The 14872-nt window shown below is 35.8% G+C and overlaps 1 protein-coding gene and 1 non-coding gene across 4 annotated transcripts in view; both read left to right on the top strand.

Moving 5' to 3' along the window:
• The window catches only part of GTF2A1 (general transcription factor IIA subunit 1), a 45939-nt gene that overhangs the window by 15917 nt on the left and 15150 nt on the right, over positions 1-14872 (top strand). For all 3 annotated transcript variants that reach the window (NM_201595.3, NM_015859.4, NM_001278940.2), the window contains 5 exons: positions 1370-1574; positions 3816-3880; positions 7990-8065; positions 9233-9366; positions 12635-12955. In NM_201595.3, the coding sequence (NP_963889.1) occupies positions 1370-1574; positions 3816-3880; positions 7990-8065; positions 9233-9366; positions 12635-12955 (801 nt within the window). The remainder of the gene's footprint in view (positions 1-1369; positions 1575-3815; positions 3881-7989; positions 8066-9232; positions 9367-12634; positions 12956-14872) is intronic.
• SNORA79 (small nucleolar RNA, H/ACA box 79) lies at positions 2640-2779 on the top strand. The gene has a single exon (NR_003021.2). It is a non-coding gene; the product is annotated as a small nucleolar RNA, H/ACA box 79 (small nucleolar RNA).

Genomic DNA, 14872 nt, shown 5'->3' with positions numbered 1-14872 from the left:
TAGATCTTGTTACCATCTCTCTAAGAATAGACTTCAGGTAAGTCTAAATACTGGGCCTGCCAGTAAGATTCCCTAGGAAATTGACCTTAACATTTGCTTTCTCAGTAAGCCATTAGAGATTTAGTGGAACTGTTACTAGCATCATGACAACAAATCTAGAATGTCTGGAATGATTGGAAGGGTCAGAAGATTATAAAAAATCTCTGTGAGTATGACCAGGCATGGTGGCTCACGCCTATAATCTCAGCTCTTTGGGAGGCCAAGGCGAGCAGATTGCTTGAGCCCAGGAGTTCGAGACCAGCCTGGGCAACATAGTGAGATCTTGTCACTATTTCTTAAATTAAAAAAAAAAATAAAAAAATAAAGAAACTCTCTGTGAGTATGGCAAAGGGAAGTTCTTGAAGGATCTGATAGAAGCTTCAGGTCAATTAGGCAATATGCCAAGAGCAAATCCTGGAGGAGAAGACAAAGTATGTGTAGATCCTTGTGTACAGAATGACCAAATGAAGTTTTATCTGTATTTTCAGGGAATAGTTTGTGACTTTTTGGCCAGTTTCTTAAAAGGTAAAGGCTCTAGATTGAACACTAAACCTGGTAGAGAGGAAATGTGTTAGGTAGAAGAATGAAATCGTTGCACATGTTTTCTTTTCTTTTCTTTCTTTTTGTCCATTATGATTTTTCCCATCATAGAACCTAAGGTGAAATGAGAAAATAGAAATGGCTAAACAGAAAAGGATTGTCAATTGGCGTAATGGAAGAAGGAAGGACATTTCAAGAAGTGTGGAGAGTTGGGATAACTACTAAGACCTTCGGGCGTTGCCGGTTCTTTTTCTTTATGTAGGATTGGACAGATGGAAAGTTAGGCTTTTCTTCTTTGGGGGATTGCATCTATGTATCTCACTGTTGTAAATGAATTTATGTTTTGTATGTTATTTAAGAATTTATGTTTTATATGTTGCAGAAAATTTTGTATTTTCTATTTTTATAAGGAAAAAGTTCCATATAAAAATAGTTTAGTAATGGTTTTGCTATTATAAAGGATAATCTTTGATTACTAAAGAAGTTGCTTGTATGAAACTCATCGCTTAATAATAACTGCTGATTAAGGAATTACTATAGAAAGTTCATTGGAAGATAAAAAAAAGAAACAAAATCTTCAGTACTCTGATGTGGCAAAAATGAGGTTTGATACTTTAAAATTTTGTTTTTGTTATTGTTTCACTTGGGTTAGAATTACAGATTTGTTGTATTTCTGTGTCTGTATCAGTTTTTAAAATGGAATAACTTTATAAAGAGATTAATAAAACTGTTGTATTCATCTGTCCAGAGTTATTTTTCACTTAGAAATCTTTAATGTTCTTTGCCTTAGTTATGGGAAAACAAACTAATGCAGTCCAGGGCAGTAGATGGATTTCATTCAGAAGAGCAGCAGCTTCTACTGCAAGTTCAACAGCAGCATCAACCCCAGCAGCAGCAGCATCACCACCATCACCATCATCAGCAAGCTCAGCCTCAGCAGACAGTACCTCAGCAAGCGCAGACCCAGCAGGTTCTTATTCCTGCATCACAGCAAGGTGAGACTGGACTTGTTTTCCTACTTATGACTTGGAAATTAAGTTTGTCATTATGAAAGAAGAGAAATATTCTGCATTTTTTGGATCTTGTCTTTTAAGGGGCACATGGAGAACCTAAAAATAAACAAAAACCCCTCTGTTGATTTCGGGCTTTTTCCCCCCTTTCTCTTGGCTGAGGGATGTGTATGTAAATGTATATAAATTTGTATACAATGTAGGTTGTATCTGTAGAGTAATGGTAGACAAGTAATTTACTAATTGAAAGCCTAAGATATTCAGAGAAGTTATATTAATATTTTGTTTTGAAAAGGCTATATAGTGATGGATTTCCTAAGTTAAATCTAAAAGGTTTATTTACTAAGGGATTTATTATTTTATATGGTACAATAGTTATTTGCTTTCTCTATAAAACATGTTCTTTCAAAGACATGTTTCAGATTAGTTTTTAAAATATATCTTACATTCTGGAGTTTTTTGTATACTTTGGCAATCTGAAAATTCAGCTCCATAGGAATTTATGTAAGCCTAAATGGACTGAATTAGATTTATTTTAAGTTAAGAGTGGATATATAACATATCTTAATTTATATTACTTGGATTAAAGCTAAGAAAAAGCAAATATTCATAGACTGTGTCCATAGTGCCTTGTACTCTGCAAGTCATTTTATAGATACTGTTTCACTGGCATCTTATAAGGGCTTTGTAAAATAGCCCTTGGCTCAGTTTTACAGCTGAGGAAAATCTGAGCCCAGAAAAGGCTAAGAAACTTGATCTGTATTTTCTCTCATGACAAACATCTATTCAGTTATAAAACTTCCTGAGCATTCTAATTCAGTGCATCTGCTTTTATGGGAGAGGACACTAGAAGTAAATGAAAAGTTCATTTTAATATCATTTAGTTACTCATTTGCCTCATTTGACAGTATATATATGTGTCTTAAAATTGGTAATGACACACAGTAGAAGAGTATTTGGGTTATTTTACTGTTGATATCTAGTGGTACTTTTCATACCTAATTTTAATGTGTACTTTGTATCAAATAATTTTATCCTTTTATTCTTTTTTGATGACTGTTCTTCCTGTTGCCTTCAGACCTGGCATTAGGATTTTAGGTCATCATAAATTAAAATTTGATTTTCTTCACTCAGAGAATATTAGGATAATGGAGTTATCTGTTCTCTGAAATTTGCGGAATCAAACATGTAATTCCTTTTACGCTTAAGTAACATTGCCATTATTTCTGATTTGTATTTTTTCCGACTTTTGCCGGTTTACCACTCTTCAGGCAACCTGGTGGTCCCCTGCTTTCAGGAGGCCACCATATTGATGCCGAACTTATTTGGACACCTGATCAGCATAGCACATACAGCCCAGAACTCCTGGGCTCAAGTGATCCTCCCACCTTAGCCTCCTGAGTTGCTGGGACTACAGGCATGCATCCCTGCACCCGGCTGATTTGTATTTTTTAAACAGCTGATGAAAGTGGCATGAGTCTGTCAGCTGTCATATTTGGAAGAAAAGGACTATGTAGATTTCAAAAACTAGTCACAACTTTTTGAGCTTACTTTTATTGGATTAGTAACTCATTGTAACAGTGGTATCATTGTATCAGTAAAACAGTTAACCTTGAGTTAAGACAAAATTATGTTTGAAAATGTCCAGTTTACTTAAGAATGCATAGAACTATTTATGTTTAGATGTTAAGGTAACTCACTACTTCATGTTCCTAAATTCCCTTGCATCCTTAGGAATTGCCACTTAATTTTTTTTTTTTGATATGGAACCTTGTCACCCATGTTAGAGTGCAGTGGCGTGATCTCAGCTTACTGCAACCTCCAGTTCCGGAGTTCAAGTGATTCTCATGCCTCAGCCTGACACCCAACTAATTTTTTTGTATTTTTAGTAGAGATGGGGTTTCACCATATTGGCCAGTCTGGTCTTGAACTCCTGACCTCAAGTGATCCACCCGCCTTGGCCTCCCAAAGTGCTGTAATTACAGGTGTGAGCCACCACGCCTGGGCTTAAATATTTTTTAATGTTTTCTAGTATAGGGTGGGTATATCACAGCTGTTATTTGCCATATACATTTATAATGTCCTGAGATGAAATGATTGAAAGCATTTGAGTGCAGAAAACATGAAAAACATGAAAAAAGTTTTCATCATTGTATGTAAAGTGTTCTTGTGATTATAAAATAGCCTCATGGTTCCTTGTTTGCATGTTCGCTTGTTTTTTTGTAGCCACAGCACCACAAGTTATTGTTCCAGATTCTAAGTTGATACAGCATATGAATGCATCAAACATGGTAAGACTCAGAATGTAGCAGTTTGATTGGCTGTACTTAATTCTAACCCACATTGTAATTATGCCTATATATGTCCTATATTAACTACTTGAAGTTTATTGAAGACTCAAGCAAAACAGCTGTTTTAGTTTCCTGAATATTGGATCTGAAGTTTAGCTTGGTACCTAGACATTAAGGTTCATAAAATTACGGAATTGTTTAAGAATACCAAAAGAATGGTGCTTTGTGAGAGTTATTCCATTCCCTACTATTTCCGAAAAAGTTTTAGGGTACCTACCAAGCTTATAATGCCAAGTATGGTTCTGTTTCAGGAGACCTAGTAATTGCAAGAGGGTGGGAAGGCTAAGAATTGTGAACTTTTAAAAAATGAAGATAGACTGGATAGTTCAGTATAACTATTTTTAAAATCAAGCATTTAAAAATATTACTCTGACTTAACCATAGTATAGTCTAATAAGTCATTATAGTGTGTAAATTACCACAGAATACATTTTAACCAGCTGAGTTATATTAGAATTTTTATATTTCTGAGGACTATCCACTAAACTTTACAAGTCCTCACTCATATTTTCAAATTACATTTCAGACATATAATATTTCTCAACAAATGTAGTATAGGTTAACTGTAAACTTGAAAGAACCTCTTCAGATCCTTAGAAAATCTTTACCTATATCCTTGAAGTTGTTTTTTGTTTTTTTTTTTTTTTTGGATAAAACATTAAAATATAGTCAGATTAGAGTAGTTCAATACTTCCTTATAAATGGTTTTTCTTTATTCTGTTTAAAATATACAGACTGTTGATTTCATTGAGTGGTGACTCAGCTCTTACATTTCATTCTTCAGCCAAAACTTTTATTTAAAGGTGAAAGAATCAATATTTGTAAAAAGATCTTTTAACCTATGTAACTAGTTAGTACTAGAAATGAGATTTTTTTTTCCCTCCGTTCAAGTTTTTTTTTTTTTTTGAAGATGGAGTCTTACCCTGTCACCCAGGCTGGAGTGCAGTGGTGTGATCTTGGCTAACTGCAACCTCCGCCTCCTAGGTTCAAGTGATCCTCCCACCTCAGCCTCCTGAGTAGCTGGGAGTACAGGTGTATGTCACCACACCTGGCTAATTTTTTTGTACTTTTAGTAGAGACAGGGTTTCACCATGTTGGCCAGGCTGGTCGCCCAACTCCTCACCTCAAGCGATCTGCCCACCTCGGCCTCCTGAAGTGTTAGGATTACAGGTGTGAGCCACCACGCCCAGCCTCAAGTTTTTTTTTAAACCAAAAAGCAGTGTATGAAAAGATGAGTTCTACTTTGTGAGTGATACTGAATCACAAAGTTCATTTGTGGTTTATAAGCCAGATAAGAAGGGCTTACCCACTAGACAGATGACTTCCTCCTACACATTACCAGCCTCACAAATTCATACTGTGGCAGAATTGAAAGTTTCTACATGATAGTAGAAATTGCAGTTTTTAAATTCACAAATATCGAGGATCTCTGTTTGTACTTGTAGTTGCAGTTTCTAGAATCTTTTCGTTTACATGAAAATAAAAAATTTCATGCCTGTTATTTCTCACAAGATTTTTTATTGGAAAAAACTCCATTTTAAGTCTAAGGCCCCAATTTTTTTTAACCTCCACCCTTAAAAAAAAAAAAGTCTCACTATATGTTGCTTATTGTAGTTGATGTTATTAAGACTATATCCTAGGGAATAACTCACATTATTTTAAAACAAATTTTGGCAGAGTCTCTTGTGGTAGGCCCCTCTAAAAGAATTTTAAATGTTGTGGAAGAGAATTTTGAATTAGTAAGTTATTTCTGGGATAAAAATTAGTGGTCCATCTCTTACTTACTGGTTAAGTCTCCTTTATTCTAAAGAGCATATGTATTTAAACAAATCATAGGTCAGTTACTCAGGAAAATTGATTTAACATTTCTGTATATTTTACATTTTACTTTGTTGTTTTTAGTCAGTGTTTCCTTCATGTATTTCTGAACATAATCAGTATAGGCTCTGTACCAATAAAAGTGTTTTAGGTTTTTGTGGGTTTGCATTATTCTGATTTAGAAATAGCAAAAATATATTTGTTCTTTCTAATGGCTCTGTTTGCATTAGAAATGAACTAATCATAAAAACGTGAGATAATATAGTAGAAGGCTATTTCAGGGAACTTCTAGAAAACCATTGTTTTCGGTTCTTTTTTATGAAATGATTGGTCTAATGCATTATTTGTGTTTGGGCTGTTTTGTGGAATACAAGAAGAAATTTTAATAGTTATTAAGTATAAGGTGGTTAGTGTATGGTACATGACTCAGCAAATATATGTTATGCAGCTTGAATTTGTGGAGGGTGTGCAGGTAGTTATTGGGTCGTGTATTCTATATGGAAACTACTATGTCAGTTTGCTGGTAGAGGGAGAATTGCTGTCTTTCAAAATATGAATTATAGGCACTTAATATTTCTAAATATTTTTGTTTTTTTCTTTTTAAATATTTCTTAATAGTATGTGGTGGTTAATATTTTCCTTAAACTTAGATAACCTTTAATTTGCTTATATAGCCAAGTTTTATTTTAAATTGGGTAATTGAGTATCCAACTTAAATACGAATCACCCGGGTGGGCTATAGTTAAATTCTGGAGACACAGTGGGAATTTCAGGCCCAAGATGTAGAAATTACTTAGGTTTGTCAAGTGGCAACAAGTGTATTTTCTTGGAAAGCTATGTACCTAGAGCCCAGACTAGACAGTAGTTGAACTATTAACTCAGTTTAATAATTTTCTAAGTTTGTTGACTTCTCTGACACTAGCATTTCCAAAGCAGTTATATTTATTTTTTTAAGCTTTTTCAGATATGGGTAGTTCTAAAACTGTATAGGTTAGATTGAATGTATGAATGGTTGGTAGCTAAAGAAGATTGAAAAGAGAGGGAAAAAACTACCAAAATGTGTAGCTATAGCGGGATACAGGAAAATACTTAAAGTGCAGAATAAAAAACCAGAGAATGGCATAATTCTTTGCGGGAGGACAGGAGGAGAAAACTCTCCAGAACTCTCCAGGAAGTCAAGAATTTGTCCTGGATTTAAAGAAATTCATAATATAATCCCGTCTATATCTTTATAACTTAAGTGTCACATACTAACTTGATTTCAAAATGTTGAAACTAAAGTTTGTGACTATTGCCCAGGCTGGAGTGCAGTGGCACAATCTCGGCTCACTGCAACCTCCACCTTCAGGTTCAAGCCATCCTCCCACCTCACCCTCCCAAGTAGCTGGGACTACAGGTGTGCACCACCCTGCTCAGCTAATTTTTGTATTTTTTGTAGAAATGGGATTTCACCATATTGCCCAGGCTGGTCTCAAACTCCTGAGCTCAAGCGATCTGCCCACGTGGGCCTCCTAAAGTGCTGGGATTACAGGCGTGAGCCAGTCTGCCTGGTGTGACTTTTCTTAAGATTTACAGATTTTTTGTATTAATCTGTTATTAATGCATGTTTCACCTAGAATATAATGCCAGTATGTCCCTTTTTTCTTTGCTAATATGACATCTTAGAAGAATTGTCAGCTGTACTCCCAGTGAAGTCTTCTGATACAGTGTTCTTTATAGATATCTGTTGATTTTAGTAGAAATTTTAAAAGTTAAGAATTCTAAAAAGTAGATAATTATACTTTTATCTCAAGGAAATGGGGATAAGGAAACAGTGGGAAAGGAAGCAATAATGAAATAGCCATTTCATATATTGTACAGCATTGTTAATGTGGGTATTGTCTAAAAATGTGTAGGTTAGATTGAGTATAGGAAGGCTTGGTACCTTAAAGAAGATTGATGGGACAAGAAGGAAAAAAAAACTGCAGTACCTGTGAGATTTACTTAGAGCACCTTCTCTAGGGGAAAAAACCCAATTATATTGTTGTATTTAACTGCTTAAAATAATTTAGTAGGTTGGAGGCTAGGTTGGTCAGTCTTGTACCATTTTATAAAATGGGATTTAGCCTTACTAGATTTTTTAAATTTTGGTATATTCTAAACAAAAAGTTTCATACACTATTAAAATATGCTAGAGAGAAACAGTATTATACATGTATGTGGTTTTGATATTTTTTCTTTGTTTTTTTCAGAGTGCTGCTGCTACAGCTGCTACCTTAGCACTCCCTGCAGGTGTGACTCCTGTTCAGCAGATATTAACAAATTCAGGTAATTAGGAATGATGGAACCATTTTAAAATGTAATTCAGAAAATTGTACTATCTAGCCCTTAGGTTTTGTCTTCTTTGAAAGACAGAAAATACTAATATTTCTTTTACCATTTGGTTTAGGTTATTAAAATAACTTTATTTGAGGGCTGTAACACATATAACTGTAATCGTTGTTGAGGATACAGTAAAGAAGATGAAAATTGTACTTGAACCTTTGATCTGTGCATGATAACCCTATTATTGAAGTATGATTATATAAAAATGCTTACTTAGTTTTTTACTGAACACATTTAACATGCCAAGTGAGTATTAAACTTCTTTGAACTTGTGATATCAAAGTAATTCCTAGAGCATATTAAGAGCAAATTTATTGTATGCTATTATTATACATAGTATCTCTTCATTGACAAAAGACCAATGTCTAGCTCATGTGTTTTGGCATATTGGTGCTTGAAAAATTTATTTACATGGATTTTAAGTGTTCCCTATAATCTTGATTATATAGTTATTATTTATTTTCTATTCTGTGTATGTTATTTTTGTTAATTTGTAAATTTGTGAAATTAGGGGCTTGTCTTGCTACATATTTTAATAAGATGTAATTTGCTTTTTAATCAATTCAAGATTCTGGGTTGTCTAAAGGAACATATTGGGGGAATTTGATTCTGTGTGAATTGTATGACAATGATGATAACTGGTTCTGTGAACTTTTATTGCTTTTACCAATTTTGAAGCAAAGTTCTTTGGTGCTTTGTTTGGTTCAAGATATTAAATGAGCTATTAAGCTTTTGTTCCTTTAAAGCTTTAAAAATGAACAGCTCCCGAAGTGTCTGATCTTACTGCTCTTTCTTCACTCCTAAGGTTAGCAAAGATAATGTAAGCTTTAGTCAAGTCTCATAATCTGTTGTTAAAACCTTGTTGGAAATAGCTGAATGAGGATGTAAATATGAAAAATAAAACATTTTAAGGAATGTATTTGAACATGGCGAGAAGTCAGAGAAGGGGAGGATTATGCATACTGTGTATGAATGACAACCTTTAATAAAATTGTTAGTTTTCTTGATAATTTCTTGTGCCTTTGGTGGTATGAAATTAAATATGAATTCATTTCTTTTGAGATGGTCACTGCTAAAATGATAACTCGGAATGCATGCTTTTTGCTTTAGGCCAGCTTCTTCAGGTGGTCAGAGCAGCCAATGGTGCCCAATATATCTTTCAGCCTCAGCAGTCAGTGGTTCTACAACAACAGGTTATACCACAAATGCAGCCTGGTGGAGTACAAGCTCCTGTTATACAGCAGGTAAAATAATCTTCTATTATGATCAGTATGGGGTTCTGTTTTATTCTGTATGTATTCCCTGGGTAGTTTCCCTCTCCTTATATGCACAAAAGACTCTTTTTCAGTGCTACAGACCCAGTTGTTTCAAATTTCTCCTGTATACAGCTTAACTTAGATTCAGCATGTATTAAACATGTATTAAACAATTACTGTTGTCTCTGCCCATCCTTCATCATCCCCTCGAAGGTGGCAGCACTCTCCTTCCAGCTTCCTAAGCTGGTCATTCAGCCTTTATTCAATAAGCAGTTACTGAGTCTCGGGGTATTCACAAGGGTCAGGGGATTTAGGAGTGAATGACACAGACATGACTCTAGTTTTATGATGCTTACTGGAAGTGGGTGTGTAGAATCCTCCCTTTTCCTTACCTCTAATACCCAAGGTATCAAGCCCTACCAATTCTTGTTAATAGTTTTTCTTTTCTTTTTTTTTTTTTTTTCGAGACAGAGTCTTGCTCTTTCACCCAGGCTGGAGTGCAGTGGCGCGATCTCAGCTCACTGCAACCTCTGCTTGCTGGGTTCATGCCATTCTCCTGCCTCAGCCTCCCAAGTAGCTGGGACTACAGGCGCCCACCACCACACTTGGCTAACTTTTGTATTTTTAGTAGAGATGGGGTTTCACCGTGTTAGCTAGGATGGTTTCTATCTCCTTACCTTGTGATCCACCCGCCTCGGCCTCCCAAAGTGCTGGGATTACAGGTGTGAGCCACTGCGCCCGGCCTTTTTTTTTTCTTTAACTGCAGTTTTGCCATGGTTGCAGTCCCTTAATATGTTTGACACTGTTTTTTTCTCAGCCTCTTTTTTCATTTCCTTAGTTCATACTGTCCATGATTTGTCACTAAAATGCTGCATTGTCTTCTTAATGGTTTCTCTGCCTCTCATCTTTTGCCCTCCTAACCTGGCTGATTTATAGTCATCTTTTTTTTTTTTTTTTTTTGAGACAGAGTCTCTGTCACCTAGGGTGGAGTGCAATGGCGCAATCTCAGCTCACTGCAACTCCCGCCTCCTGGGTTCAAGTGATTCTCCTGCCTCAGCCTCCTGAGTAGCTGGGATTAGTGGCACGCACCACTGTGCCCAGCTAATTTTTGTATTTTTAATAGAGACAGAGTTTCACCATGTCTAGGTTGGACTTGAACTCCTGACTTCAGGTGATCTGCCCGCTTTTGCCTCCCAAAGTGCTGGGATTATGGGCGTGAGCCACTGTGCCTGGCCTATCTTTCTAAAAATCCTAAAACTTTTAACAGCTTTTCATTGCCTACTGAGAAGAGCCTAAACAACTCAACATGGTTTATAAAATCTTTTTGTGGATCTTGTTTCTTTGAACTCTCCAGGTTTATTTCTTGCCATGCTCCCAGTTATTTTCTTTAGCTGCATTTACATCAAAATAAACACTTGGATCTACTTGTGTTATATTCTTGTGCTGTGGCACTAAAATGAAAGAGGAATGGTTATTTTCTTGAGGAACTTATGTACTTTATATGTTTATGTGTCTGTCTCTTTTTTAAATGTCAGTAAAATAGTATTATGATAGAGACAAGATCAGAGCAGTACTATTAATCCAGTTTATTTACATCTTTCCAAAATTATGTACTGCTGTCACTTCTGGGTTTCACTTGATGTTACACTTCTCTTAAGAATGCCGTCTGGCAACTCCCTGCACTTCCCCCAAACAAATAGAAAAACCTGGCTAATCTCCTTAAAGCAGCAGTCTCTTAGCTTTTTGACACCAGGGACTGGTTTTTGCAGAAGACAATTTTTCCATGTACTGGGCAGCAGGGATGGTTTCGGGGTGAAACTTTTAATTCAGGTCATCAGGCATAAGGAGTGCACAACCTCCATCCTTGCATGTGCAGTTCACAGTAGGGTTCCTGCTCCTATGAGAATCTCATGCTGCTGCTGATCTGACAGGAAGCAGAGTTCAGGTGGTGATGCTGGCTCATCCACCACTCACCTCCTGCTGTGCAGCCCAGTTTCTAACAGGGGTTGGGGACCGCTGCCTTTAAGCACAAACAGAAACTACTTACTAATAATATAAGTAATATTTGATCATGCTTTGTCCCCTAAGTTGAATTTGGTACACTCTCTTGTGTTCCCATAACACTGTGTCATATTTGTACTACATCTGCTGTGTTTTTGAGTTGTTAGTGCTTTGTCTATTATACCATTTTTTTGTCTTTTGTGTTGTTACACCACGTGTAAGCATTTTAAAGGAAATACTGTGTCTTATTTTTGCATTCCTTGAACCTAATGGCAAGTAACAAGCATCTAGTCCTCCTCCTTTATTATAATACATATAGTTAATATTTGTTAGTATATATTTTTTCAAGTTGTGGCTTACTTTAGAATCCTAGATGCAGAACCTGGAAAGGAACTTCAGAAATCTGATCTGGTGGTTTTTAGAAAAATAATTAGCTTTTATCTCACACTGAGTCAGAATATTAGGGGTATGGCCAAGGTATCAGTACTTTTTAAGTTGCCAGGTGGTTCATATTTGCAGCCAGGATTGAGAACCATTAAGCCTAGTTTGACAGTGAAACGACAGAGGCCAAGAGGAGTTAAATGACTTGCGTCTGCTGTATTTATGTCTGACTTTAGACAAAAGTAGACCCAGGTTGGCCAGGCGTTGTGGCTCACGCCTGTAATCCCAGCACTTTGGGAGGCGGGCGGATCATGAGGTCGTGAGTTCGAGACCAGCCTGACCAACATGGCAAAACCCCGTCTCTGCTAAAAATAACAAAATTAGCCGGGCATGGTGGCGCGCACCTGTAGTCCCAGCTACTCAGGAGGCTGAGGTGGGAGAATTGCTTGAACCCAGGAGGCAGGGGTTGCAGTGAGCCGAGATCACACCATTGCACTCCAGCCTGGGTGACAGAACGAGACTCCATCTATAAAAAAAAAAAAAAAAGGTAGACCCAGGTTTTCAGATTCTCAGTCCAGTGTTCTTCATGTGAAGGCAGTGTATAACTTTTGTCCTGGTAGCTGGCATATACATAGTATGTGCTCAATAAATGAAGCAGTTATCTTTAGAAAATCCTTATTTTCTAGAAATTTGATAAAATAGAAATTTAATGGGTCACTACACTAGTTAAACTAATTGCTTTTGTACTTTGGTAGTTTTTAACTGTGTATGAAATATGGCCATTCTGGTGAATCTTAAGCATTTGTTTCTATTTCTGTGTACCATACTTGATCCTCTTAACTAGTTACTGTTATGTGGTTTTCTTTTGCTTTAGGTGCTGGCTCCTCTTCCTGGAGGGATTTCACCACAGACAGGTGTCATCATCCAGCCTCAGCAAATCTTATTTACAGGAAATAAGACTCAAGTTATACCTACGACAGTGGCAGCACCTACACCAGCCCAAGCACAGATAACTGCAACTGGCCAGCAGCAACCGCAGGCCCAGCCTGCTCAAACACAAGCTCCATTGGTCTTACAAGTTGATGGAACTGGGGATACATCATCTGAAGAAGATGAAGATGAAGAAGAAGACTATGATGATGATGAGGAGGAAGACAAAGAGAAAGATGGAGCTGAAGATGGGCAGGTGGAAGAAGTAAGTTTCTAGTAACATACTTAAAATAATCTACTTGATTATTTCCTTTTTTAGTTGGTACAACACTGATAAATTATATCCTGTTTTTTTCAGAGACTGTTAGGTGCTGTACAACATAAGATTTTAAAGATAAAGTTAGATTGTTTTAACTTTAGTAAGGTTTTTATATTCTGGCTATATTTATCTTCATAAAATATAACTTTCATATAGCTGGTAATAAAAAATGTATAACAAATTAAATTGTATTAATATGTGTAGTAAAGAGTACAGGTAATTCTAACTCTGGCTTACGCATTTATAATGTGGCTTAAACATAAGACATTGGTAGATAAATAGATGTGGTTAATCTTTTGCTTCAGTAATTTAAAAAGCGTGGCAACATTTGGGGAGAGAGCAAACTCAAGAACCAAATGTCACAAATTTATTAAATATTTAAAACCTTTTGGTCCATGTTCTATACCACTTCCTTAAAAACCTATGTACCCTTAATGTCTGTGTTCTTCTAGAAGCATATAAATATGCCTTTGTTTTCCTCACTATTTCAGCTTAGTTACTAGGCTCCAAAAACTATTTGTCCCACCACAATTTTCACTGTTAATTGCCTTCGTTAGCCTAAAATGCAGTCTTTTTGTTTCTTAGTACAAAGTTCTTCTAAATTATCTAAGTAATTTTTTTTCTGAAGAAAACATAGTTTATTATTGAATATTGAATAGACACAAATGAATAGAAATGTTTCAAGATAAAAATCATCCTGGTGCCCACCATCTAGTTAAAATAAAATTCCATTATTTAAAGTGCCTTAGATGCCTCTCCCTAATCCCATCATTCCTAGGCCATCAAAGTACCTTTGCTCATACATTTGTGTTGATTATTAATTGCTTTTATATTTTACCATATATATTTATATTCCTAAATAGCATATTGTTTAGTTTTGCATGTTTACAACGTAAATGAAGTAATTACGTATTCTTCTGCAAGTTGGTTTTTTCCCCTTAAAATGATATTCCTGAGGTTTATCCAAGTTGTTGCATATAGCTATAATTATTTTCATTGCTGAATATACCATAATTTTATTTGTCAATTTTTCTAATCCAGTGGACATAAGGATTGTTTCTTGTTGTTTACTGTTACAAACAGTTATAAAATATTGTAGTGTATGTCTTCTGGGGACACAAATGCAAGAGGTTCTCTAAATTTTATACCGAACATTGAACTTCTGGCTCCTAAGTCATGCACATCTGCAACTTTATAATAAAATGCCAAATCACTTCTGCCATTCAATACATAATTGTGCAGATGTCCATACCCCCTTATCAATACCTGATAGTGTCAGGCTTCCTGATTTTTGCTGGTCTGGTAGGTAGAAAATAGTATTATTTCATTTTGGTTTTAGTTTGCATTTCCTCACTTAGGAGTTTTAGCCTCTTTTTGTATATTTATTTGATATTTGTGTTTTGTATAGAAGTGCTTATTGAGGTCTCTTGCCCGTTTCCTCCCCCTAAATTCTTCATAGTTTCAGTGCTTCTTGAAGTAACATGTTTTTATTACCTTTTCCAGTTTATTGGTAGGATGGAAATATGTAGCGCTTTTAATATTCATCCTTGAACCAGCCACCGTCCTAATGTCTTTTGTTAGTCCTCATAATGTATCTGTAGATTCTTTTGTATCTTCTGTGTAGACTTTCACATCTTATATGAAGAACGGCAGTTTTTTGTGGCTCATTGGCTAAGCCTTCGGGAACAGTATTGATTAGAAGTGGTGATAGCAGGCACTCTTCTCTTCTTCTTAAACTGAAAAGTAATCTTTTCCATGCTTCACTGTTAAGTTTAATGTTTGTTGTGGGTTTTCTTTTTTTTTAATGGATATCTTCATCAGGTTAAGTAAATTCCCTTCTTTGCATTGCTTTGTTTTTTAAAC

The sequence above is a fragment of the Homo sapiens genome, chromosome 14 (genome assembly GCF_000001405.40).
Source record: "Homo sapiens chromosome 14, GRCh38.p14 Primary Assembly".
In the NCBI taxonomy this organism is placed as follows: domain Eukaryota; kingdom Metazoa; phylum Chordata; class Mammalia; order Primates; family Hominidae; genus Homo; species Homo sapiens.
Note: the sequence above shows the minus strand (reverse complement) of the source record. Positions and strands in the feature narration are given on the sequence as shown.